The sequence below is a fragment of the Homo sapiens genome, chromosome X, assembly GCF_000001405.40.
Source record: "Homo sapiens chromosome X, GRCh38.p14 Primary Assembly".
NCBI lineage: Eukaryota > Metazoa > Chordata > Mammalia > Primates > Hominidae > Homo > Homo sapiens.
The window spans coordinates 114,706,611-114,733,900 of NC_000023.11; the positions used below are offsets into that span (position 1 = coordinate 114,706,611).

The window sequence follows — 27,290 nt, forward strand, 5'->3', positions numbered from 1 at the left end:
AATGACGAGTTAATGGGTGCAGCACACCAGCATGGCACATGTATACATATGTAACTAACCTACACATTGTACACATGTACCCTAAAACTTAAAGTATAATAATAATCAAATAAAAATAATAAAAAAGAATGAAAAAAGTATGGTCTATAAAAATAGATTTGCATAAATACAATCTGCAGCTGGCTTCATTCTCTTTTTATAATGGGTTGGATCATAGCACCATGTTGAGCTAAAATCTATTGCTTTTGGTAATCCAGTCAAGAAAAAAGTAGTAACCAACAATTACATATAAATGACATAATTTTATAAAGTGAAAATACTACATGGTAATAATTTGATAAATTACTTAAGAAAATTTAAGATTGTAAGGTTTGTCCAGATTTTTTCCTATAGTTTATTAAAAATAATGAACCAAAACAAAAAATTTCAATTACTATTGCATATAAAGAGCAATTATAATCTGTCAATGACTACAAGCCAGCCATCTTAACATCAACTGAGAACAAAATTCTAAAAACAAATTATTCTTATAACTTTAAGTAAAAAAATTGAAGAACTAATTTAAGTGCATACTATTTGTCTGCTTAGAAAATGGTAAAATGATAGGAACTTCTTAAAGGCATTTCTATTCAAAATATCGTTGCAGACACTTAGATTAAATCAGGCTGGGCATGGTGACACATGCCTGTAGTCCCAGCTACTTGAGAGAAAGAGGTGAGAGGATGGCTTGAGCCCAGGAGATCAAGACTGCAGAGAGCTTTGATGGTGCCATGGCACTCCAGCCTTTCTCAAAAATAAATAAATAAATAAATAAAATAAAAACAATTTTAAAAACCATGTTTATAAATATGTATTACAAGTTCATTATTTAAATGAGACTATAAAACCTAAAGATGTAAACATCACTTTAAAAGCCTTCCTACTTTTTTCTTGACTGATTTGCCAAAAGCTGCAGATTTTAGCTGAGGATGGTGCTACAATTCAGCTTCTTTTAAAGATGAAGGTGACTAGAGAGTGTACTTATGCTGAACCTGCAACTATTTCTTCACTATAAGAAATAATTTCTCCTTTTACAGGCCATTTATTCCATATTGCAATTTATGACTTAAGTAAGTGACTTTTTTCTTTCCCTGTTCTTGTAAATTCTCAGAGTGATTGTCAGTCTTTCTCATTTGAATATCATGGAAACTCTACCATTTCAGTTTTAGTCCAGTGCAAATACAGTCTATTCAGTCCTTCTGATTTCAACTTTGCCTATTTACTATATAATAGTAAATAGGCAAAAAAAACTTTGCCTAAATACTATGTAATAGTATTTCAAGGTAATACTATTTAGAAAAATGTATTATAACCGTTTTAACTTGGTTTGTCTCCCACTCTTTAATGAAGCCAAAGTAAAAAATCCAGTTAAAATAAATTTTTGCTGAGAGTTGTTTTGTTAAAAACATATATTATCAGAGTTGCATATTAGGAAAGTAATCAATGTTAACTATTTTCATTACCAATCATGTCACTCTGAACATAATCTCAAAATAATCACATAATTCTATTGGCTAATTTTATAAAATTCACTTACTCATGAAATCAACATACCCCTTTATTTTATCATTTGCTAATCATTTAGATTTTTAAGAGCAATTTCACATACTATCAAATTTTTGGCCACATATCAGATTAAACAAAGGCACAGAAAGATTAAATAAGTTACCCAAATATCATAGCTAAGAAGTGAAAGTTGGACTTAATTTTCTGTCTTTGGAACCCAAAGTTCTATGCTCCTTCAAATGCAGCATACATGTGTCTTCCATTAATGACAATTAAAGTCAACTTATTCCATTACTGTATGCATTTTAACCTGAAGGTTTAGAGACATAGAGTTGGTTTCCTGACTCAAAAGTTTTAGCATTGGCCTGGTGTGGTGGGTGATACCTGTAAATCTCAGCCCTACTTTGGGAGGCCAAGATGGGAGGCTTGCTTGAGGCCAGGAGTTCAAGACCAGCCTAGGCAACATAACAAGACTCTGTAGCTAAAAAAAATTTTTTTTAAATCAACCAGGAATAGTGATTCATGCCTTTAGTCCTACCTACTAGGTAGGCTGAGGCGGGAGAATTGCTTGAGCCCAAGAATTCGAGGTTACAGTGAGCTATGATCATGCCACTGCACTCCAGCTTGGGTGACAGAGGGAGATACTACATTTTTTTTAAGTTTTATTATTATTCAGCTTCATATTTAATGGACCAAAGACTTTCTCTGGTTACTTAACTATATGGCTTAGAGAGAAAAGGCATTCTTTGGCAAATCTTAAATGATAGTTGAATACATTATTGCTTCAAAAAAGTCATTGCTTTCAAAACAACTAATACAATTAAACAGTGATAGCAATATCAAAGGCAGTGCTATCTTGTGAATCACTTAGGTTGATCATAGTAAGCCACAGCTAAAAGCTATCTCCTATTATTAGGGTGCACCCATAAATGTATTCTTCCACCTTTTTTAGATTTTCCTTTATAAAAGTCATTTCTGTTATTGGATGCAGAGATACTCTTAACTGCTATTTCTTTGTTGTTAATTGTGGCTTTCTTTTATCATTAAAAAGCGTCTTTCTTTTTCACTCTTATTTTTTTAACTTCAAATTTATTTTGTCAGATATCAAGATTGCTATTTGAAACCTCCCTAGTCGATTATTATTCTGTCCAGAATTTTGTAAATTATGTGAAATTCACAAACTATAGTAAAATAATGATCTAGGAATATTGGTTGATGGGATTATCTCTGTACTACTTGTTTGAATAAAAAATTGGTATGTTTTTCTACAGAACAAAATTGCCATCTTTAAATTTTTCCTCTAGTCATGGAAGTGTTAATTGTATTTAAAAATCACTTTGTTCCACTGCTATTGTTGTGAGTAAATTAAATGATCAAGAAAGCAACTGTGAGATTTAACAGAGTTTTGCATAAACAACTTATGTTTGAGAGTAGTCCTGCCAGCATATTCCTGCCAGAATTTGTCCTTGTAACAGCAGACATTACATAACCATGCAGGGCTTCCAGACATCTAGGAATTAATACAGATTTTAGGACAACGATTTCTTTGCCTTTCTTCCTTCTGTTCTCTTCTTCCTTCCTTCCTTTTCTTATTCCTCTTCTCCTTCATTTGTTCCTTTCTTCATGCCTGCCTTTCTGCCTGAGTTCCTTCTTTGAATATTTGCAGAGCCAAGTGTTCAGAAATGCATTCCAAAGTAGCTTTCTACTGCATTTAATTTTGTAGTCTATGACATTTCCTTCATTTTCTTTCACTTAAAGAGAGGCAATGAGACAATTGTCCTAACAGTTATGCATAAACTAGTGAGACACTGATCATCCGTGACTCTTCGGGCTTTTTGCTATCAGTAAGGCTCAGAATCAAAGGACTGGAAAAGAAGCAGGAGACTGGCTTCTTATCTTGGCACTGACAAAAATTAACATTAGGACGTTGAATAAGTCATTTATCTCTTCTGGATCAGATTCCTTAACTATTAAAACAGAAAGTTAGAACTTTGCACGGTGGCATGTGCCTGTGGTCCCAGCTCCTCAGGAAGCTGAGATGGGAGAATAGCTTGAGCCCAGGAGTTCCATACCAACCGAGGCAACATAGTGCAACCCCGTCTCTAAACAACAAAACTACACAAAGCAACAGAAACTTGGATGGTCTTCAAGTACCCTCTTTCAATACTGCTCATGAGAGTATGCTTATTAGACATAGAGATTGACAGGTACAATGTTTAATGTGGAAAAATTTATAGTTTCTTATAAAAATAAAAGAACCACAATAAGAGATAGTGATGAGGAGTGAAAAAATGTAGATATTGGAGTGCAACACATCTAAAATTAAATCTTGCTCTGTAACTTATTAGTTCTATGTGGTAATTCAACATCTCATTTTATCTTTTAATCTGGCATTGCATTGTTTTCATAGTAAAGATTAAATGAGAAAAATAGAGTGTTTCTCACATCACTTGGTGTATAATAATAAATCAGCAAATGGAAACAATTATTATGTATCTGTTTTTAATAGTTTTTCTTGTTGAGCCATTTCCACAGGAATGACTCAACTGAGAGGAGTTTTTTATTCCCTTTTCTATTTATCTTAGGGCAACAGATGGTGGCTTAGACAGTAGTACTTCCCAGGGTATATCACAATGACAGATTTAGTGACATGAACTTTATGAAGTCCTCTGCTAATAGCTTCTCTACTGCCAGAATGCAAGGTATCAGGCCAAAAGGTGTGTGGGAGGCTAATGACTACGTTTCCACAAATATTGGCATGAGCTGGATACTTGATTCATGAGAGCAACTTCCCAATTTTTGGCAAGTTACCTGTAAAGACCATTTAGAAAAATTTCTGGCTTTCTCTGAGTAGCAAGTGTTTTATGAAACCTGTAGAATTTTTCAAACCTACCTAAAGTATAGGCAATATAATATGATTGGCTAGATTATCTATGGAGGCATTATATTGCCAATTCTTCTATCTTTGGCTTTCATTTTCTTAGTTGCTTGCCTATACAGATGGTTTTAATTTGGACCAAAATATTTTAGTAATTTAAAATAAGACTTTAAAACTTGAGGAATCTTTCATGATACAATAACAATGATTTTGTTTCAGTGCCCCAATATCAGCAGATTGTAGAAAAATTAAGTATGAATAGAGAATAGTAATGAATATATAATCACAAATATGTTAGGCAGTAACCTTAAAGATTGAGATAGTTTGCCAAAAGCAGCTCGCATATCTTTCATTCTTTTACTTATAGAACAGATGAATAAAATCTTGAAAACATTTAGACATTATACTAATTTATTTTACCATAAATTCTTACTTAAGAAAAAATTGATAATTAATGGAGAGAACAAGAATGTAACCTCTACATGGGCAGAGCTCTTTGCCTTATTCACTCATATATCCCTAGTATATAGAACATTACCAAGCACATACTTGGCATTAAATAAATGCATTGAATAAGTGAACAATACCTTGATGAAAACATAAACTCTTTGCTAATACTGCCTTCCTAAATGTGTTTTTTAAAAATCACTTAAGCATGCTTTCAGAATCTGAATCCTGCCATTTATCAGAAAAAATAGCTTAACCTCTTTGAACTTCACTATTTCTTTTTCTGTAATATGCATTTCTGTTAACATGAGGTAAAACTAACTTTTATCACTGTGCCTGGAACAAAGTAGGTGGACATTAACTGTTTGTGGATTTTGTTTCATAAACACAATACCTGCATTTAAGAAAATAGGGTCCTATAACTTTAACCTAGAAATTGTTATTTATAAAAGAAGATTTGTATCAATTCTTTATATCAATAAAAGAAGCATATCAATTGTTATTAACAAAAGAAAATAATGGCTCTTTGTGACAGTTTTTAAAATGTAGCAATAGAAGAAGCAACGCTGCCTATGATTTACTACTTAAGAACAAATGTTCATGATGATGCATATAATCTCTTTTTCTTAAGCAAATGCATAATTTAGTCAGCATCATATGCAGTTTTGAAAAGTAAAGCATTATTATTTAGATGTCATTTCTGTGATCTCATGAAATATAGAATCCCTGGAATGAGAGAAAAGAATAAAATATTCTCTTTAACATATTTCACTGCATAACATAAAAGGTCTGTAAAATTACCTGAAAGGCAAAGGTGTCACACCATACCTCAGTGGTGATTTGCACCAAATACACTGTCTTTCATAAATTTCCTGAGCAAACAGAGATTTCCAATGAGAAATGAATACTTTAATCAATGCAACTTTTCAACCTATTTAGTCCCTGATCTTGAAAAATTATACCCAGTCATGAAGGATGGAACTAATTTTGAATTTACAGAGAAACTCATAACAAATTTAAATACCATAATATGCGTATTATATCTGCAGCTGTCAGAAAACTTTATTTACAGTCAGTTGCCTTTCTCTGAATAATCATATTGTTGTCCTGAAAGATATTTAAGACCTTTGCCAAATTAGAGGTATGGCCTATATTTAGTGAATCATCATCATTGCACCTCCCCAGGGAGAGCTTAGATGAGAGAGCTCATGTTGTCGTCAGCTGTTGTTAAGTGGAAGGGATGGTACTGATCCAAAGACTTTAATAAATTGTTATTGGAAATGTGGTTTACCCAAAGACCATTGTTCTCAAAATGTATTATCATAACATCCACTGGAGAGAAAGTCATCAAAGACGAAAGATGTCTGTACCATTTTATATGATCAAGAAAGACTAATTTTTTGCTATGGAAAAGACATCATCATTATTTTAGGAGATAATTAGAATAATGTTTTTGTTTGTTTGTTTTTAAAAACTGGACTGGTGATGTATAAAATGCTAAAAATAAAAACTGGATTGAGTATAAAATAATGAAGTCTTCTATCTTTGACAAAACTTTATATTTTTCATGCTATGTAATCTAAAAGCATATCTCATTTGTAGTTATAAATTATTTTAAAAACCTTTCAAACATAAACAGTCATAGAGACAACAGTACAGTGATCCTCCATAACACCATCATCCAGATTCAATAATTATTAAAATTTTGCAACCAATCTATCCCTTTCTCTTTCCCATTCTCTTCGTTGAATTATTTAAAATCATTTCACATTGCTTCAGTATCTATTTCTAAAATTGTGGCTATATTACTGCAAAACCATGATGCAATTACCACCCCCCAAAATTTTAGGAATAATTCCTTAATTTAATACCCCAGTCCATATTCAAATTTTATTTATAGTCTCAGAAACATCTCATTTTTTTCTTTTTAAAATGTACTTTAAGACTGGATAAAACTGTAGAACAACATGTTGATATTTTAGCAAAATTGCTACAATTGGTCTATATTATAGAACAAGTCTGTGTGATAGAAACTGTCTCCATGGCACTCAAGTGAGTGGAATGATCGTGACTGAATTCTATATATAGAATCTTTCAGTGAGAAGTAAAAACAGATGTTGTATGAAGCATCTGATGTTTCATAAATGGGTTATTTTATCCAAAATTTCAGTGATCAATAGTTCATAGATTTTTTATATTAGGTAAGTTACTTCTCCCTCTTGAAAAACGTGAAGGAAAATATTCAAACATTCAAAGGGCTTTGAATTATTATGAAATGATTATGAAATGATGGTGCTTTGGATGGTGGTTATAATAAAATGTGTGTAGTTGTAGCACCTTTCTTTTCATTCCTCACTCTCAAAACACATGCATACACACGTATACACAGACACACACATACACACACAGAGTCATGAGCAAAAGGATTTGAAGATTTGTTAGTTCGAATTTTCTGACAGGTTTTATTTTATAAATTGAGTTGTACAGGAGGTACTCTGAGAGGGTAAGTTGAAGAATTCTCCACAAATCTAATTAGAAAATTTAAAAAGTGAAAATATATTACATGTCATTTGTGGTCTGATATTTTAGCTTTAATTACACTGAGGGGAGTTATAAAATAGGCATATCAGTTTCGCTAAATATTGACACCATCTGATATAACGTTTGTAGAACTGGGACAGGAAACACTATTTTCAAAGTTGTCAAACTGAAGTACTATTTTTCTCCATAAATAAACAAAATGGTAGAAGAGTACACAAAACCATAAACAGATTCTACCTGAGAATTAAACCACTAAAGTAGAAGCCAAGCTTTAGATAGCTACAAAACTGGCCATTACTTCTTATACTTCACTTTTCTGTAAAATATTCTAGGCAGAAGATTTTTTAAAATAAAATCACCAATAAACAATTTTGTTTAAAATTTTTATGAGTCTGTGTGGTCTCCTAACTCTTTAAGAATGAGAAATGTATTTAAGGATTCATTTAAGGAAGTAGATAAAGGCATGGTACAGAATACCTACATATTAATTTGTGGGATGTGTAGACTGAGTTATGAGAATACTCAAGTTAAAAGTCACTTTCGCATTCCTTTCAAACAAAAGGCTTTGTCAGGTGAATGCTATGTTTTATATTTAATTAGCAATAACAAGTAAGATTTAATTGTAACCAAACTCAGCTATTTAGAAGTATCTTGTTTGTAAAACAGCGTAGAATAATGTCAACAATTTAGCAAGAAAACCCAATTCACAGCATTTCAGAGCAAAAAGGGATAGAGGTCCTCTATTGCAACTTCTGTGTCATGGATGAAAACAGTGAGGCTCAAAAAGTTTGAGTGACACATCAAGAAGTGGTAAGAGTCAAGACTAGAACTCATGTCTCCTACTGCCCAGCCTAATGTCCTTTATGCTAATCACACATATTTAACGGCTAGGGTGTTGAATGATACTAGAATGAATTATACATTATATAAATTATTCATTATGCAAATTAATTTTTGTTGTCTCAGTTTTCTGTATTCATGACATATTTGAATTTAACAAGATTCATCTGGTACTTCTAGCTATTTCTACATTTTATGAGTTGTATACATTTTATATCAATAAGTTATAAAACAATAGCAGAAGTCACTTCTTTTTTCCAGATGAGACAGCAAAACCAGAAACTGACCCTTCAACTTTGAAGTAGCTTTTTGTTTGTTTCTTTCCCCTTTATATAGGATGTCTTGAAGCCGAGAAGGAAGAGCTGTTGGAGAGACGAGGAGTTAAGAGTTCATTCGGCTGTCCAGATGTATCCAAGTACCCTGTGTTATTTGGCAATAAATACATCTGGGCAACTGACTGAACTTTTCACTTTTCATGACTCAGCTGGAACCCTCCACAACCAGAAGAGCCTGTTATAAAGTGAAAAGTTTGTGATCTCTTAATCTAATGAAATGGGAAGTAGGAATTGCTTGTGGGTGAAGAGACACCATTGTAAATGTAAGTGGGAATGTATTTTAGTATGCAACTAAATTGATTTTTAAGTGTCTTGACAAAAGATAAAGAGGATTTGTTTTTCTAGCTTGCAAAATTAAAATCAAATTAACAGAAAATTTTGATCTGCTCCCATCAGTGACACTTGTCGTGTACTTAACTCACCGGTATAAAATAACTATTTTATACTGTGATGGAGAGTAGCTGGCAAATGCTGGCAAATATTATTTGTATATTACAATATTTAAAAGATATCTAACCTCAAGCTATGGCTATGTACATGGATCCATCTAATGTATTTACCCCAATCACTCTTTATCTCATGATGCAATTTCATTTTATTCATAGCAATTATCACGATTTGAAATTATCCTACATCTTTGTTTAAATGTTTATTTTCTGTATCTCCAGCTAGAATGTAAGCTCCATTGGAGCAGGGGCCTGGTTTACCTTGTTTACTACTACATGCCCAGCATCTGGCATAGTGCCTGGCATGTAATAAGCAATCGATAAATATTTGAATATATGAAACTACTATTATACAGCTTTTGGTCCTGCAGATCGGTTGGAGTTGGTCTCCAACACAGATATTTAGCATATGGTTTGCTCCATTAGCTCTGCTCTTTGAAAACCTTCAGTTTGTTGTGCTATGTGCATACTAACACTGAGATAATTCCCAGATAGTTCTGCTACCACCTATGGAGAAAGCAGTTTCAAATTGCTGGGCATTCTGCCCACTAAGGCAAATTCTCTCCATGTCTGTTACTACCATCATAGAGTGATTTGCAATAGCTACTTTAAGTCTATCAATTGGGAAGTGTATGTTTTTAAAGTATTATTTTATGTAAATGGAATAGGTCTAGCTGTGAAAAACATAATTTTATATGCTGTAGATTTTGAGTTAACTGTTGTGTGAATTCGCACATAATTTAACAATAATCACGCTCATGGAACATGTCAAACACAAGCAGAGGTATTTAGTAAATACAAATGAGGAGAAAAAAATTTTTTTTTCCATTTGAATTCCAAGCATAGGAGGAACAGGTAAATCTATTTAAATAACCACTTAACATTATCTTGGAGGAGAGGGAATAAAAGTAATGAGCCTAGACTTGCATTCAAATTGAATAATCACTGGTGGAAGAGTAGTCTTTAATTTCATTGATGATAATAACTGAAAAACTTTCTATCAAAATAATAAAAATTATCTGATTTGACTATAATTAGCAAAGGTGAGTTTTTAGTATGACAAATGTATGATTTATTAGAAAATCGCTAGAGTACATTTGAAGTTGAAAGGAAAACTTCCTACAATATTCATTAGTCCTAAGGATAATTTTTGAATTAAATGAGCTCCCCCAAAATTATTGTAAATCTGTGCCACATTAATATAATCTTCCCAGGACTAATCTGAACATTTATGGCTAATTCATTTTTGATTTAGACATCTGCTAAAAGCTCACTGGGTATAATAACTAGAGGGATAATATTTGAATTATGAGTCATAATTTCTGAACACTGAAAATTGATAAAAATCAAACTTCTATATGTATTATTATTTATTCAATTTTTAAATGCTTTGTTATAAAAAGTGAGACAGAAGTGATCTAGTTGACTATATTCTACAATTTCTTTTTTTTTTGAGACAGGGTCTGTTGCCCTAGCTGGAGTAGAATGATGTGATCAGGGCTCACTGCAGCCTCGACCACCTGAGTTCAAGGGATCCTCCCACCTCAGCCTCTCAAGTAGCTAGGACCAGAGGCACACGCCACCACATCTGGCTAATTTTTTGTATTTTTTGTAGACATGGGGTTTTGCCATTTTGTCCAGGCTGGTCTTGAACTCCTGAGCTCAAGCAATCCACCCACTCCGGCCTCCCAAAGTGCTGGGATTATAGGCGTGAGCCATCGCACATGGTCTATTCTACAATTTAAAAAAATTTAGTGTGAAATTTAGTCTTTCAGTTTGATAGAAAATATGCTGCATCATTATAATGTGCTAACGGAATTTCCAGAAATCTAGTGTAAACTATACCTTTTCATGGGTGAATCTAGACTCTCCAATTTTTGTTAAAACATGAGTAGAAATGCTGGCATTTTTTTTTAAGACTCATCAATATTATCTTCAACCAGGTCTGGGAAAAAAAGAATAAAAAGTAGTGTGAGAGCAGAAAACGTGATTGAAACACGACCAATCTTTCTTCAGTGCCAAAGGGTGGAAAAGGTAATGGTAAAAATGAATTATAAATGGTTAGCTTTAGAAGTTGCAAGGCAAGCGTTTTCAATAAAGTTGCAAGCTTCTATCCTCTCCAAGCACAATTTGGGCAAAACCACAGCTCTTCCTTTATTCTTAGATAGTATCTTTTGACTTCACACCTTAAATCTCCTACCTTCCCATCAATCAGCCAATTACTTTGTACCCAGGACTTGGCCAAGGATTGTGGATGTTACATGGAAAGTACATCTATATGGCTCTTCTGCTCAAAAATTTGCCTTTAGTATTAATACAACACCTTTAAAAAGCCTTGTTCGTGCCAGCCTTTGTACCCCACAGTTTTTTGTTTTCTTTGATTTTGTTAATATTTTTTGAGACAGGGTCTCACTGTGTCACCCAGACTGAAGTGCAGTGGTGCGATCACGGCTCACTGCTGCTGCCACCTGCTGACCTCAAGCCATCCTCCCACCTCAGTCCCCAAGCCCACCCCACAGTAGCTGGGACTACAGGCCCGCACCATCACATGGGGCTGATTTTTTTTGCAGAGATGGCGTCTTGCTCTGTCCCATAGTTTTTAACTTATTTTTTAAAATTATTTTTGCTTCCAAGGTGATTATTGATGATGACTTTTAAGTATTTCTGTGAGTGATACGGATTCTGATAGTTTGCAATTTATTTCCAAATTTCCAGTGGAGATTCGATTTTGGTTCAGTTGTTTTGGAGTGTTCACACTATTTTGGATGACATATGCTGTATGACACATGGCATATAGCCATATAAGCATAGATTTCATAGGCATGAATTAAATATAATACTCATGGTATGGATTCATACTTAATTAAATTTTCACATTAGTTGAGGTTATTCTGCAATATCTTGTGTAAAATTGTACTATTGAAAATTATGTGAAAACTAATGTTTCTCCCCCATTTGTCTTAGCAACTGTAGTTACTGTTATTGATGTCTGAAGATTTTACAGTGCTTTAGAGAAGGCATGAAAAGATCTGTGATTTACACTGTAGAAAGGATTGAGAGATTGGTCTGAGTGTGTATTTAGTGACTAGTGATCCTGATCTTATTTCTATGATTTAATCTGTGATTTTCTCTTCATACTTGAGACAGCTAATTGGTTTTAAGTTAATCAATCTTTTTCTGGACACGAAATTATAAATATGTATGACTACACAAAGTAACACAGAAACACACAAATGTTATATAAGTTGGTTGTAATTATAAATTATATTAATTTTATATAATTATATATATAATATAATATAAATTATATTAATATTAATATTAATATTTAATATATATAATATAATAATATAATATATAATAATAATATAAAATAAATAAATAAAATAATATAATAATATTAATAATATAATTATAATTATAAATTATAACACTTATTAAATTATCAAACCTACTTTCAAGGCAAATATTATAAAATCTCATTAAAAATTAGTCAATTATTCCGTCAATTATCTCACAAGTGATTTTAAAAAAATTTTACAAAACACAATCCTTCACAAATTTGAAAACTTGAATTTATAAGCATTCTTTTGTGTTCATGCAACTTTAAAAGTTCCATTACACAGATCAGAAAGTTCCATATATGCATATCAGAAAGTTTCATTAGAGTTGTTTCGCTATGTTTTTCAGTTTCTGTTATTGATTGATCTTATCCAAGACAAGAAGTTTTGCATCACCTTCCCTTTTAGTAGAATTACTCACAGAACATTTCTTATTGCAAAATATCATCATCACAGTGGCCTGGCCATTTGGGGAAACATGTAAGATAACATAATTTATGTTACATAATTCATATAATTTATTCCCATCACACCATGTTCCGAAACTCTTACCACCAGTTCACAGGTATTTTCTATCATGTCTACTCAGTGTTCATGCAAATTTTAACAGCATGAGGAGACATGATTTTGCCTACAAGTCATTTTTGTTAATAAATTGGAAATCTATATACATAATATTTTTTGTGATTATTACTCATTCTTCTCAATAAAATTGGAACTTAGAAAAATAAATATTTGATGTTTAATTTTTCTGCTTATATTTCTCAGGAATATACATGTAAAAAAGCATAAGGAAGCTGGCTAATTTTTAAAGGAATATAATATTTTGAGTAACAGTAATGGAATTCATCCATAGCTAAAAATGTGGCTAATAAAGTGCTTCATGAGATGATTATTGTATCAGCTTGTTTTGTTATACTCTATTGGAGCACAGCATATTTCACTCTATCTTTGAACCTTTAAAAATTATACTAATATTTGGATACATAAAAATAAATATTGAAAATCATTTTAATACTTTTAGCATAAGGAAAAAGGAAAAAGTTTGATACTTATTGAGGGCTAAGAAGCAGGATGGGACCTTTTGGTTTCCCTTACCATTTTTTCTGTCACTTATTTTCAGACCTCCCAGAGAAAGAGATGTCTGTGTTGTCTGGTAAAATTTATGGGACAGTATTGGCCTGACTAATGGTCAGGGTGATATAGCTCTCTCTCTCTCACACAGAATATTTTGAGTTCCTAGATATTGGAAGGCCATATTTTATGTATTACGGTAGTAAGGGGATGATTTGGAGATTGATTTTTGTGTAGGTAGCACTGATAGAACTGATAAATGAGAGCTAAGGGATGAAGAAGGGAGAAAATATTAACTATGTATCTTGAGTGACAAGGATAGTGCTATTAAATGAGATGGAAAACACAGGGAGATGTGATTTCTTCTGGTTAAATTTTACTTCCAAATTTCTAGAAGGAGCTAGAAGCACACTAAAGAAAGCTTATCAAGACAGATTTTCAGGATCATATTTCTTTTTCTTTTTTTTTTTAATTATACTTTAAGTTTTAGGGTACATGTGCACATTGTGCAGGTTAGTTACATATGTATACATGTGCCATGCTGGTGTGCTGCACCCACTAACTCGTCATCGAGCATTAGGTATATCTCCCAATGCTATCCCTCCCCCCTCCCCCGACCCCACCACAGTCCCCAGAGTGTGATATTCCCCTTCCTGTGTCCATGTGATCTCATTGTTCAATTCCCACCTATGAGTGAGAATATGCGGTGTTTGGTTTTTTGTTCTTGCGATAGTTTACTGAGAATGATGATTTCCAATTTCATCCATGTCCCTACAAAGGACATGAACTCATCATTTTTTATGGCTGCATAGTATTCCATGGTGTATATGTGCCACATTTTCTTAGTCCAGTCTATCATTGTTGGACATTTGGGTTGGTTCCAAGTCTTTGCTATTGTGAATAATGCCGCAATAAACATACGTGTGCGTGTGTCTTTATAGCAGCATGATTTATAGTCATTTGGGTATATACCCAGTAATGGGATGGCTGGGTCAAATGGTATTTCCAGTTCTAGATCCCTGAGGAATCGCCACACTGACTTCCACAATGGTTGAACTAGTTTACAGTCCCACCAACAGTGTAAAAGTGTTCCTATTTCTCCACATCCTCTCCAGCACCTGTTGTTTCCTGACTTTTTAATGATTGCCATTCTAACTGGTGTGAGATGGTATCTCATTGTGGTTTTGATTTGCATTTCTCTGATGGCCAGTGATGATGAGCATTTTTTCATGTGTTTTTTGGCTGCATAAATGTCTTCTTTTGAGAAGTGTCTGTTCATGTCCTTCGCCCACTTTTTGATGGGGTTGTTTGTTTTTTTCTTGTAAATTTGTTTAAGTTCATTGTAGATTCTGGATATTAGCCCTTTGTCAGATGAGTAGGTTGCGAAAATTTTCTCCCATTTTGTAGGTTGCCTGTTCACTCTGATGGTAGTTTCTTTTGCTGTGCAGAAGCTCTTTAGTTTAATTAGATCCCATTTGTCAATTTTGTCTTTTGTTGCCATTGCTTTTGGTGTTTTGGACATGAAGTCCTTGCCCATGCCTATGTGCTGAATGGTAATGCCTAGGTTTTCTTCTAGGGTTTTTATGGTTTTAGGTCTAATGTTTAAATCTTTAATCCATCTTGAATTGATTTTTGTATAAGGTGTAAGGAAGGGATCCAGTTTCAGCTTTCTACATATGGCTAGCCAGTTTTCCCAGCACCGTTTATTAAATAGGGAATCCTTTCCCCATTTCTTATTTTTCTCAGGTTTGTCAAAGATCAGATAGTTGTAGGTATGCGGCGTTATTTCTGAGGGCTCTGTTCTGTTCCATTGATCTATATCTCTGTTTTGGTACCAGTACCATGCTGTTTTGGTTACTGTAGCCTTGTAGTATAGTTTGAAGTCAGGTAGTGTGATGCCTCCAGCTTTGTTCTTTTGGCTTAGGATTGACTTGGCGATGCAGGCTCTTTTTTGGTTCCATATGAACTTTAAAGTATTTTTTTCCAATATTGTGAAGAAAGTCCTTGGTAGCTTGATGGGGATGGCATTGAATCTGTAAATTACCTTGGGCAGTATGGCCATTTTCACGATATTGATTCTTCCTACCTATGAGCATAGAATGTTCTTCCATTTGTTTGTATCCTCTTTTATTTCTTTGAGCAGTGATTTGTAGTTCTCCTTGAAGAGGTCCTTCACATCCCTTGTAAGTTGGATTCCTAGGTATTTTATTCTCTTTGAAGCAGTTGTGAATGGGAGTTCACTTATGATTTGGCTCTCTGTCTGTTATTGGTGTATAAGAATGCTTGTGATTTTTGCACATTGATTTTGTATCCTGAGACTTTGCTGAAGTTGCTTATCAGCTTAAGGAGATTTGGGGCTGAGACAATGGGGTTTTCTAAATATACAATCATGTCATCTGCAAACAGGGACAATTTGACGTCCTCTTTTCCTAATTGAATACCCTTTATTTCCTTCTCCTGCCTGATCGCCCTGGCCAGCACTTCCAACACTATGTTGAATAGGAGTGGTGAGAGAGGGCATCCCTGTCTTGTGCCAGTTTTCAAAGGGAATGCTTCCAGTTTTTGCCCATTCAGTATGATATTGGCTGTGGGTTTGTCATAGATAGCTCTTATTATTTTGAGATACATCCCATCAATACCTAATTTATTGTGAGTTTTTAGCATGAAGGATTGTTGAATTTTGTCAAAGGCCTTTTCTGCATCTATTGAGATAATCATGTGGTTTTTGTCTTTGGTTCTGTTTATATGCTGGATTACATTTATTGATTTGTGTATATTGAACCAGCCTTGCATCCCAGGGATGAAGCCCACTTGATCATGGTGGATAAGCTTTTTGATGTGCTGCTGGATTTGGTTTGCCAGTATTTTATTGAGGATTTTTGCATCAATGTTCATCAAGGATATCGGTCTAAAATTCTCTTTTTTGGTTGTGTCTCTGCCCAGCTTTGGTATCAGGATGATGCTGGCCTCATCAAATGAGTTAGGGAGGATTCCCTCTTTTTCTATTGATTGGAATAGTTTCAGAAGGAATGGTACCAGTTCCTCCTTGTACCTCTGGTAGAATTTGGCTGTGAATCCATCTGGTCCTGGACTCTTTTTGCTTGGTAAGCTATTGATTATTGCCACAATTTCAGAGGCTGTTATTGGTCTATTCAGAGATTCAACTTCTTCCTGGTTTAGTCTTGGGAGAGTGTATGTGTCGAGGAATTTATCCATTTCTTCTAGATTTTCTAGTTTATTTGCATAGAGGTGTTTGTAGTATTCTCTGATGGTAGTTTGTATTTCTGTGGGATCAGTGGTAATATCCCCTTTGTCATTTTTTATTGCGTCTATTTGATTCTTCTCTCTTTTTTTCTTTATTAGTCTTGCTAGTGGTCTATCAATTTTGTTGATCCTTTCAAAAAACCAGCTCCCGGATTCAATAATTTTTTGAAGGGTTTTTTGTGTCTCTATTTCCTTCAGTTCTGCTCTGATTTAAGTTATTTCTTGCCTTCTGCTAGCTTTTGAATGTGTTTGCTCTTGCTTTTCTAGTTCTTTTAATTGTGATGTTAGGGTGTCAATTTTGGATCTTTCCTGCTTTCTCTTGTGGGCACTTAGTGCTATAAATTTCCCTCTACACACTGCTTTGAATGCGTCCCAGAGATTCTGGTATGTTGTGTCTTTGCTCTCATTGGTTTCAAAGAACATCTTTATGTCTGCCTTCATTTCCTTATGTACCCAGTAGTCATTCAGGAGCAGGTTGTTCAGTTTCCATGTAGTTGAGCGGTTTTGAGTGAGATTCTTAATCCTGAGTTCTAGTTTGATTGCACTGTGGTCTGAGAGATAGTTTGTTATAATCTCTGTTCTTTTACATTTGCTGAGGAGAGCTTTACTTCCAAGTATGTGGTCAATTTTGGAATAGGTGTGGTGTGGTGCTGAAAAAAATGTATATTCTGTTGATTTGGGGTGGAGAGTTCTGTAGATGTCTATTAGGTCCTCTTGGTGCAGAGCTGAGTTCAATTCCTGGGTATCCTTGTTGACTTTCTGTCTCGTTGATATGTCTAATGTTGACAGTGGGGTGTTAAAGTCCTCCATTATTATTGTGTGGGAGTCTAAGTCTCTTTGTAGGTCACTCAAGACTTGCTTTATGAATCTGGGTGCTCCTGTATCGGGTGCATATATATTTAGGATAGTTAGCTCTTCTTGTTGAATTGATCCCTTTACCATTAAGTAATGGCCTTCTTTGTCTCTTTTGATCTTTGTTGGTTTAAAGTCTGTTTTATCAGAGACTCGGATTGCAACCCCTGCCTTTTTCGTTTTCCATTTGCCTGGTAGATCTTCCTCCATCCTTTTATTTTGAGCCTATGTGTGTCTCTGCACGTGAGATGGGTTTCCTGAATGCAACACACTGATGGGTCTTGACTCTTTATCCAATTTGCCAGTCTGTGTCTTTTAATTGGAGCATTTAGTCCATTTACATTTAAAGTTAATATTGTTATGTGTGAATTTGATCCCATCATTATGATGTTAGCTGGTTATTTTGCTCATTAGTTGATGCAGTTTCTTCCTAGTCTTGATGGTCTTTACAATTTGGCATGATTTTGCAATGGCTGGTACCACTTGTTCCTTTCCATGTTTAGCCCTTCCTTCAGGAGCTCTTTTAGGGCAGGCCTGATGGTGACAAAGTCTCTCAGCATTTGCTTGCCTGTAAAGTATTTTATTTGTCCTTCACTTATGAAGCTTAATTTGGCTGGATATGAAATTCTGGGTTGAAAATTCCTTTCTTTAAGAATGTTGAATATTGGTCCCCATTCTCTTCTGGCTTGTGGAGTTTCTGCCGAGAGATCAGCTGTTAGTTTGATGGGCTTCCCTTTGAGAGTAACCCGACCTTTCTCTCTGGCTGCCTTTAACATTTTTTCCTTCATTTCAACTTTGGTGAATCTGACAAGTGTGTGTCTTAGAGTTGCTCTTCTCGAGGAGTATCTTTGTGGCGTTCTCTGTATTTCCTGAATCTGAATGTTGGCCTGCCTTGCTAGATTGGGGAAGTTCTCCTGGATAATATCCTGCAGAGTGTTTTCCAACTTGGTTCCATTCTCCCTGTCACTTTCAGGTACACCAATCAGAGGTAGATTTGGTCTTTTCACATAGTCCCATATTTCTTGGAGGCTTTGTTGGTTTCTTTTTATTCTTTTTTCTCTAAACTTCCCTTCTCGCTTCATTTCATTCATTTCATCTTCCATCACTGATACCCTTTCTTCCAGTTGATCGCATCGGCTCCTGAGGCTTCTGCATTCTTCACGTAGTTCTTGAGCCTTGGCTTTCAGCTCCATCAGCTCCTTTAAGGACTTCTCTGTATTGGTTATTCTAGTTATACATTCTTCTAAATTTTTTTCAAAGTTTTCATCTTCTTTGCCTTTGGTTTGAATTTCCTCCCGTAGCTCAGAGTAATTTGATCGTCTGGAGCCTTCTTCTCTCAGCTCGTCAAAGTCATTCTCCATCCAGCTTTCTTCCATTGCTGGTGAGGAACTGCGTTCCTTTGGAGGAGGAGAGGCGCTCTGCATTTTAGAGTTTCCAGTTTTTCTACTCTGTTTTTTCCCATCTTTGTGGTTTTATCTACTTTTGGTCTTTGATGATGGTGATGTACAGATGGGTTTTTGGTGTGGATGTCCTTTCTGTTTGTTAGTTTTCCTTCTAACAGACAGGACCCTCAGCTGCAGGTCTTTTGGAGTACCCGGCCGTGTGAGGTGTCAGTCTGCCCCTGCTAGGGGGTGCCTCCCAGTTAGGCTGCTCAGGGGTCAGGGGTCAGGAACCCACTTGAGGAGGCAGTCTGCCCGTTCTCAGATCTCCAGCTGCATGCTGGGAGAACCACTGCTATCTTCAATGCTGTCAGACAGGGACATTTAAGTCTGCAGAGGTTACTGCTGTCTTTTTGTTTGTCTGTGCCCTGCCCCCAGAGGTGGAGCCTACAGAGGCAGGCAGGCCTCCTTGAGCTGTGGTGGGTTCCACCCAGTTCGAGCTTCCGGGCTGCTTTGTTTACCTAAGCAAGCCTGGGCAATGGCGGGCGCCCCTCCCCCAGCCTCACTGCCACCTTGCAGTTTGATCTCAGACTGCTGTGCTAGCAATCAGTGAGACTCCGTGGGCATAGGACCCTCGGAACCAGGTGCAGGATATAATCTCCTGGTGCGCCGTTTTTTAAGCCTGTTGGAAAAGCGCAGTATTGGGGTGGGAGTGACCCGATTTTCCAGGTGCCGTCTGTCACCCCTTTGTTTGACTAGGAAAGGGAACTCCCTGACCCCTTGCACTTCCCAAGTGAGGCAATGCCTCGCCCTGCTTCGGCTCGCGCACGGTGCGTGCACCCACTGACCTGCGCCCACTGTCTGGCACTCCCTAGTGAGATGAAGCCGGTATCTCAGGTGGAAATGCAGAAATCACCCTTCTTCTGCGTCGCTCACGCTGGGAGCTGTAGACCGGAGCTGTTCCTCTTCGGCCATCTTGAGAAGTTTTTGAAGAATATATTCTTAATTTCTTTTTCAAAACATTGATTTGAAGCCATGTCTACTCCAAGAGGGGGAAATTTGGTATAAACCATGTATAAATAAAACATATACAGAAAATTTTTAAAAACTGCGATGATAAATAATTGAAAAATCTGCTCTCTTTGCCATATTTTATCACTTACACAGTATAACATGCTTACCTGTTTGCTGAATTAATAACTGTTTCTTATCACCATTAAGTGCATTTAAGTTTATTTAATTGGTTACTATGCAAGTTATTTCGATGTTTAACTAATTTTCTCTTTCTTCTTTTTCTCTCCCCAGAAAGGATGATATGATGAACCTAGCCTGTTAATTTCGTCTTCTCAATTTTAAACTTTGGTTGCTTAAGACTGAAGCAATCATGGTGAACCTGAGGAATGCGGTGCATTCATTCCTGTAAGGATGTTACTACTTATTATTTTAGTAAAAAGATAACTTTGCTTGGTAGCTTGCTCAACATGTTAAAAAAATGCTTCTATATGATCAGCTATATTTGCCTAAATCTGCATAAATGGCTTGCTTCCCAAAAGACTAATATTATGGGTGTTTCCTATTCAAAAATAATTAATGGAAAAAAAAATTTGGACTCTAATTAAGCACTTGAGCTCATATACTTAAACAAGTAATATGGTGATAATGCCCTAAATTCAAATAATCTCAATGTTCATGGCTACTTTTTCCATGGGTAAAACTTAGAAAGGAAAAATTTCTGTCCTTTTCCTTCTTGCATGAACTGAACAGTTAAGAGAATGAAATGCCTCTGGTTTTGTGAAGAATAGTTGAGGTAGGAAAAGAAAAGGTTGGAAGTTAGGGGATAGGGCTTGGCGATGTAGCTGGATGGGAAAAACCAATGTCATCCTCAGAAGTATTGATGCAGTGACCCAGTTGCAGCCAATAATATACAACATAAAGGGTGTAGGTAAAGATACAGGAGATTCAAATAATAAGCAATTCTAAATTTGATCTAATCCAGGTATACCTTCTTTTTACATAGAAAAATGTTGGTTTCTTCCGAACCTGCTTTTTGAGGAACGAAGCATAGAAAAAAATGATCCAAAGCAATGTAAACTCTGATTGGTATAGTTGAGAAACCCCAAATCTCCTTGCTCCTAGGTAGTCTCCTTTATGATTCTTGTAAAAGAGCTCACCCAGGAAAAAGTTTACAATGTGGTGGAGATATAAAGTTCAGCAACATTGGATCCTCTGCAGTGTGCATCACTGTGGCCCATCTTGAGTGTCATTGTTGTGATGATAGTTTCAAGTATGGAAGAGTCCAAGAGAACTAGAGCAGACAACTGGGAAAGAAAAGAGTGAAGGACAGTGATAAAGAAGGGAAAAGAAGAGTTGGGTATGGGAAAATGAAAGGACAAGTGTTCCTGCTCCATGGGCCTGTGCCAACTTAGTATATAGCCATTGGCCCATATACCAAAGTGTAGGACTGCCGTAAAGGGCACCAAATTATTCTGCTATGAAATTAATTAAAGAATTCATATACAATTGTTTTAAATTCTATTGAGAGAAACAAGGAAGAATTCCTGTCTTCTAACAATGTCCTAGGTCATAGAAAAACTCAGTAGATTTTAAATATATTCAACTTTTTAAATTAAATTATCATTTTGTTTATATACTAAGAATGTAAAGTTATGTTTTCATTAAAACTTTAGTAGCAATGAGTAAATTATATGCATTTCAGAGAGAAATTATGACTTTTGTATACATATTTTATGAGATTCCTATGAGCTTAAAAACAATTAGGATAAACTTTAAGAGCAAGACCTAAATTACTCCTCTTTTGTAAAAGGACTTTATAATTTCACTGAGCATGTTAAGTATTAAAAATTAGATTTAATTATAATACAGACAATTCTTCATTACAAAACTGAAGAATAAAGGATTAAACTTTAATAAAAATCATAAAATCTTGTCTATAAGTAGTGCTCAATAAAAATTTATTAAACTGAATTTAATTGAAACCAGGAAAGTGAAGTAAATACTTTATCAAGATTTATCCTAACACCATTACCTTATTTTGTAATTCACAACAGATATGTTTACATCTGACAAGACTCCTTCCTTCAATAATTCAGTATTTGTCTTACAGATTCTTTTATTAAAAAAAAATTTTCTGACCAGTAGGGATAGGCTAGATAACTACTTGAAACAGTCCAAACTCAAAGATACTCAAATTATAAAATTCATAATTTGACATAATTTTCTTCGTATATGTTTCTGTTATATATAATTTGTCCTGTACCCCTCTACCATTTTTAGAGACATATGAATGAATTTCGATGTTTTCACAATTTACTTAGAACATTTGAGGCAGACTGCATATTCCCCTAGGACCTTATTCTATAGGTTTAAGGATAAATGTATTTGTCATTCTGCAATCAACAACTGAAGACGCAGTTTAGTATTTGAGATAAATTCTTGTGGGACTACTTGAGATGATCTTCAGCTAATTTAAAACAGAACATTGTTTTTTAAAATGCCAGCAGGACAAGTTTTTTATCAGCTAGGCCAGAAAGGACTCTGGAAAACGTGCTGGATTTAAGATTACTTTTTTGAGTCCAGTTCTTCACACATAGACGTCGTCTCAAAATAAAATCAAGACTTAAATTATCCTGGCAAATTTTGAAATACATGAGTTGGGATATAGCAAACATAAAATGCTTTTGTTTAACTACAAAGCAGACAGAAGGTACCTCCAGCATTTACTGAAGGCCTCTTATGACACAGGTATTAAAGTTTGACATATATCATTTAATTTTCACAACAACCATATGATGGAGATTGTTCTTGTACAGATGAAGTTGATGTTCTGATAGGTTAAGTGACTGGTCAAAAATTACTGAAGTCAGATAGCCAGGACATTGGCCACATGCCACATTCAATAAATACAGTGACAGAGTAATCAAAGCTGAGAGCGAATAACTTGCTTCTGTTTATTTGGTCCTTTATTTCACTAATTTTTACTCATATTAATCACAGATTAATTATGACATAGATTTTGGAATCCTGTATTATTTTTGCCTATTTTTTATGTTTTGGGAAAATAATACATTTGGAAGAATTTACTGATTACTTCTCATCATTTGATAAGAATTACGATTTCTCTGATAATGGTAGTCAGCAATGAGTCCATTAAATCACACATATATTATCCCTGCCTGGAGATACTATCTTCAGTTCAAAGAACAAGTGACTGGGATAATGACATAAAAATACATAATATGGAGAACACATAGACTCTGAATGTTATGTCATGTGTTCCATCTCCCTAATTTCAGAAAGAATCATCCTTCAACTATCTTGCATAGAAAATTATGTAGCATATATTGTGCAACCAGAGGCAATTTTCTCCTCTATAAATAATATCAAGGTTGAACAACCACTACATATAGGAAATGTATCCTCATGTTGCTGTTTAACATTAATTAAATAACTATTACTACACATGGAATAAACATAAATCACTCATTCACAGGTAATATTTCTTAGTTTTAAGCAGGAAATATTGAACATGCTTGGCTGTCTTGTCTATTTTATGAAGGAAAAAATGTGTAGCTTTATTAGACATTTTAGGAGCTTACACTTTGAGAGAATACTTATGTACATAACTCGAATAAATCTCATGTCGCCATAGGGGGATATTAATTTAGAATGTGCAAATGACAACCACATCCATCTCTGGCAATAGCCTGCCACCTGGCCTGAAATTCCTACTGGTAGAATCTACCAAAGGACCATCATGAGAAATGTACATTTCTAATGTACTTAAATGACTTAAGAGATTTAGTTCCAGTGCATGAAAAGTAACAAATCCATAGGCATTAATCATCACCACAAATCATTATCTAGCCTAGAACAAGGCCCACAAAATATAAGACAAGACAGAAATGTGGAGAGTGGCAGGTAGAAGGAAAGTTTATAGCACAAAACGTTAAGAAACAATTGAACCAGCATAATGGCACTTTGCAAATGTGAGAAGGTAGAAAAACTTCTGAAAAGAAATGAAAGGGTATTCTTGTCAAAACCCACTGTACCTCTTCCAGACGCTTTGCCGGAATTTGATCTGATGGCAACTTAATTCCTTCTTAGCCTTGGATCAATAGAATGCAACTTCCAGTTTCCTTGTTAGGGTCATGGATGCTTTAAGAAAATCCCCCTTCATTCTGTTATCAGCTGTCTCAGAACATATCTAAAGGAATCAGTATTTTAAAAATATAAAGAATAGACTATTACAGCAAATCAAGCAGTACTGTGGTTTCAGATCGCAGTAAAAGTTTAAAACATAGACTTTGAAATCAGTGGGACCTGAGTATGGACCCTGGCCCCGCCACTTACTGGCTGTTTAGGCTTGAAAAAGTTACTTACCCTTTCTGAACTTTACTCAGTCTTCTCATCTACGTGATGGATATAAATTAGAACTGACATCATGAGGTTGTTTAATAAGATCAAATGAGATTATACATATATGTTTCAGCAAACTAAGTGCCTAACTCATAATAATCACTCAATAAAAGTTGGTGATTTTTGGAGAGAAAGAAGAAATACTGAGATTAATTAAGAGAGTAGAAATAATGATGATGACAATGATGCTGATGATGATAATGATGACAATGATCCATGAAGAAGCAGTTGTTTTGCATGAGCAACGTATTGTGTATAAGTAATATAATATGTACCTGATTGTTTTTTTTTTTCTTAATTTTCAGTGTGCACCTAATTGGCCTATTGGTTTGGCAATCTGATATTTCTGTGAGCCCAGTAGCAGCTATAGTAACTGACATTTTCAATACCTCCGATGGTGGACGCTTCAAATTCCCAGACGGGGTACAAAACTGGCCAGCACTTTCAATCGTCATCATAATAATCATGACAATAGGTGGCAACATCCTTGTGATCATGGCAGTAAGCATGGAAAAGAAACTGCACAATGCCACCAATTACTTCTTAATGTCCCTAGCCATTGCTGATATGCTAGTGGGACTACTTGTCATGCCCCTGTCTCTCCTGGCAATCCTTTATGGTAAGTACAATTTTATTCACTTTTCAATCTCGTATAATGTCATAAATTTGTGTCATAGTAAACACTCATAAAGTTAATTATTTTACTTGTAACATTTGGAAAAAGAAAAAAGCAAATCGTGTGACAGAAGGAGTTGGATGTATGTATCATATTTATTAAACAAATCAGTAACAGTCTTCCAAAAGCAAAACATACATTTTATATATATTAAAATCATACATAGATGCTCTCTTGCTTAGTGTCTTTGTAAACAATGAATGAACAGTTAGTTGCCTTACAATGTACTGAATGAGACATTAACAGAAACATCTTTCAACCCCTGTGTTCTGGGCAGTACACATACCTACTACCATCTCTGATACAAAGAAGGAAAAACCGGCTCATCCTCTTTAATAAATATATTTTAAGAAATCCTTTTTTAAAGCTGCCAAACTAAGTGGTTGACACAAAACAGGCACTCAATAATAGCTATTCTTCTTGTTCATGGAGTCTATAATTTGTGTTATTACAAAGAGACAAGAGATAGCAAAATTAATTACTAAGTATATAAGTGTAAGTTCATATCATCACTTTAAAAATTCAGGCATTGAAAGTTTCAATATATTGATTTTAAAGAGGTTTTTAATTTTTCTTTTGATTTTCTTCCATCCCTTCATTCTGTTCATTTTAACCTAAGGTTTTGTTTCTAGCTAATATTTATGATGAACAATCAAATAGTTTATACAACTCTACAAAGTATCTTTACTAGGAAGTTGGAGAGCCCAGTTTGAATTTAATTGCTAATATGCTTATCTCACAAAGGAGTAAAATAGACTTCCAGTTGCCTGGAGTGTATAATGGAATTAGACTAGAAGAAATAATATTGAAAGTGTATCTAGTTGTCGAATCCTAAAAGAAAATAAATGCATCTAGAAAATAATCTCTCATGTAATGTAAAAATTAAGTAGCCTGTTCTATACCTATGGCAACAGTAGATTATCTTAATAGGCATTTTATAAAGTGTTCTCAGAATATATGCTTTTCATATTCTTCATCGAGTTTCAATGATGCATTAGCCTTAAAGCACTAGTATTTTATCTGCTCAGTGGGCATTTTACCACTCTATTGCTCCAAAATTAAGAAAAGATTACTGGAATGAAGTGAAACTATGATTTAGAAGGTATACTGTGTTCTGTGGTGTCTGTTTCGCCAGCTTCTCCCTTTAAAAAAATGTGAGTGGCCAAATAATGATATTAGCATAAATCCAAGTCTCTTAACATATCTATTCCCCTGCCCAAATAAACAAAGAACAATATAAAAAACAAATAAAACTGCACAATACCACCATTAAGTGTGGAGAACATTCAAATTTCAAATTACCTGTAAGTAGGAAAACAAATGGGAAATAACATTGAACTATCTATTAGACTTCTACCCCATGCTGTTGCGTAGAAGAAGAGTAGTCCAGGAAAGATAGCATGAAATAAACTAGAGGAAAGCTATTAGGAAGCCTAAGATTGATCTAAAACCACCACAGGTGGCCGGGCGCGGTTACTCACGCCTGTAATCCTAGCACTTTGGGAGGCCCAGGCTGGCGGATCACTTGAGGTCAGGAGCTTGAAACCAGCCTGGCTAACAGGGTGAAACCCAGTCTCTGCTGAAAATACAAAAAAATTAGCCGGGCGTGGTGGTGGGCGCCTGTAATCCCAACTACTCGGGAGGCTGAGGCAGGAGAATTGCTTGAACCTGGGAGGCAGAGGTTGCAGCAACTCGAGATCACAACACTGCACTCTAGCTTGGGCGACAGAGCAATACTCCATAAAAAAATTTAAAAAAAAAACCACCACAAGCAAGTAAGTCTACCCCAAGTACGAAAATACTGAAAAGTTTCTCTAGAAGGTCAGCTTTCAGATAAGGTACTGAAAAGTATGCATAAGACTCAAGAAAGCAGCCTTGGAAAATTAACTCTTTGGAGGTGGAAAAAGGTAAAAAAGGAAGCAAGAGGTGACTTGAAAAAAAAAAAGCACAGTGAAAGGAAAAAGAAGCAAGAGGGGGAAATTTATCATCTTACAGTACAGAAAATGTCAAAATATTAGGACCCATCACCCCTCCCTCTACTGTCTCCCACTGTCCCCCAAAGGCCCTCCAGTAAAGAAACCATACTTTGATACACAAAGAAAAGAGGATGCTCTTGAGCTTGGAATTTTGGAAGCTACCTACAAACTGTCAGTCATGTTCATAGAAATTCTGAGATGCAACCAATCTTCATCTATACCAAGCTACTATAGAAAAAAATCAGAATATGAGAATAGAA

At 35.0% G+C, this 27,290-nt stretch overlaps 1 protein-coding gene, 1 long non-coding RNA gene and 1 other non-coding gene across 5 annotated transcripts in view; 2 read left to right on the top strand and 1 right to left on the bottom strand.

The window, feature by feature from the left end:
* Positions 1 to 27,290, top strand: part of HTR2C (5-hydroxytryptamine receptor 2C) — a 325,976-nt gene that overhangs the window by 122,525 nt on the left and 176,161 nt on the right. For 2 of the 3 annotated variants that reach the window (NM_000868.4, NM_001256761.3), the window contains exons 3-4: positions 20,248 to 20,361; positions 24,684 to 24,997. In NM_000868.4, coding sequence (NP_000859.2) covers positions 20,327 to 20,361; positions 24,684 to 24,997 — 349 coding nt within the window. In that variant the 5' untranslated portion in view covers positions 20,248 to 20,326. Of the gene's footprint in view, positions 1 to 10,975; positions 11,067 to 20,247; positions 20,362 to 24,683; positions 24,998 to 27,290 lie in introns of all 3 variants that reach the window. The other variant, NM_001256760.3, reaches the window with a different exon arrangement.
* Positions 8,623 to 8,734, top strand: MIR1298 (microRNA 1298). The gene has a single exon (NR_031578.1). It is a non-coding gene; the product is annotated as a microRNA 1298 (primary transcript).
* The window catches only part of LOC105373313 (uncharacterized), a 96,198-nt gene continuing 79,791 nt past the window's right edge, over positions 10,884 to 27,290 (bottom strand). Inside the window, exons 4-5 of the long non-coding RNA XR_001755943.2 lie at positions 24,012 to 24,166; positions 10,884 to 10,977 (exon numbers count right to left, since the gene is read on the bottom strand). This is a non-coding gene — a long non-coding RNA (uncharacterized LOC105373313). The remainder of the gene's footprint in view (positions 10,978 to 24,011; positions 24,167 to 27,290) is intronic.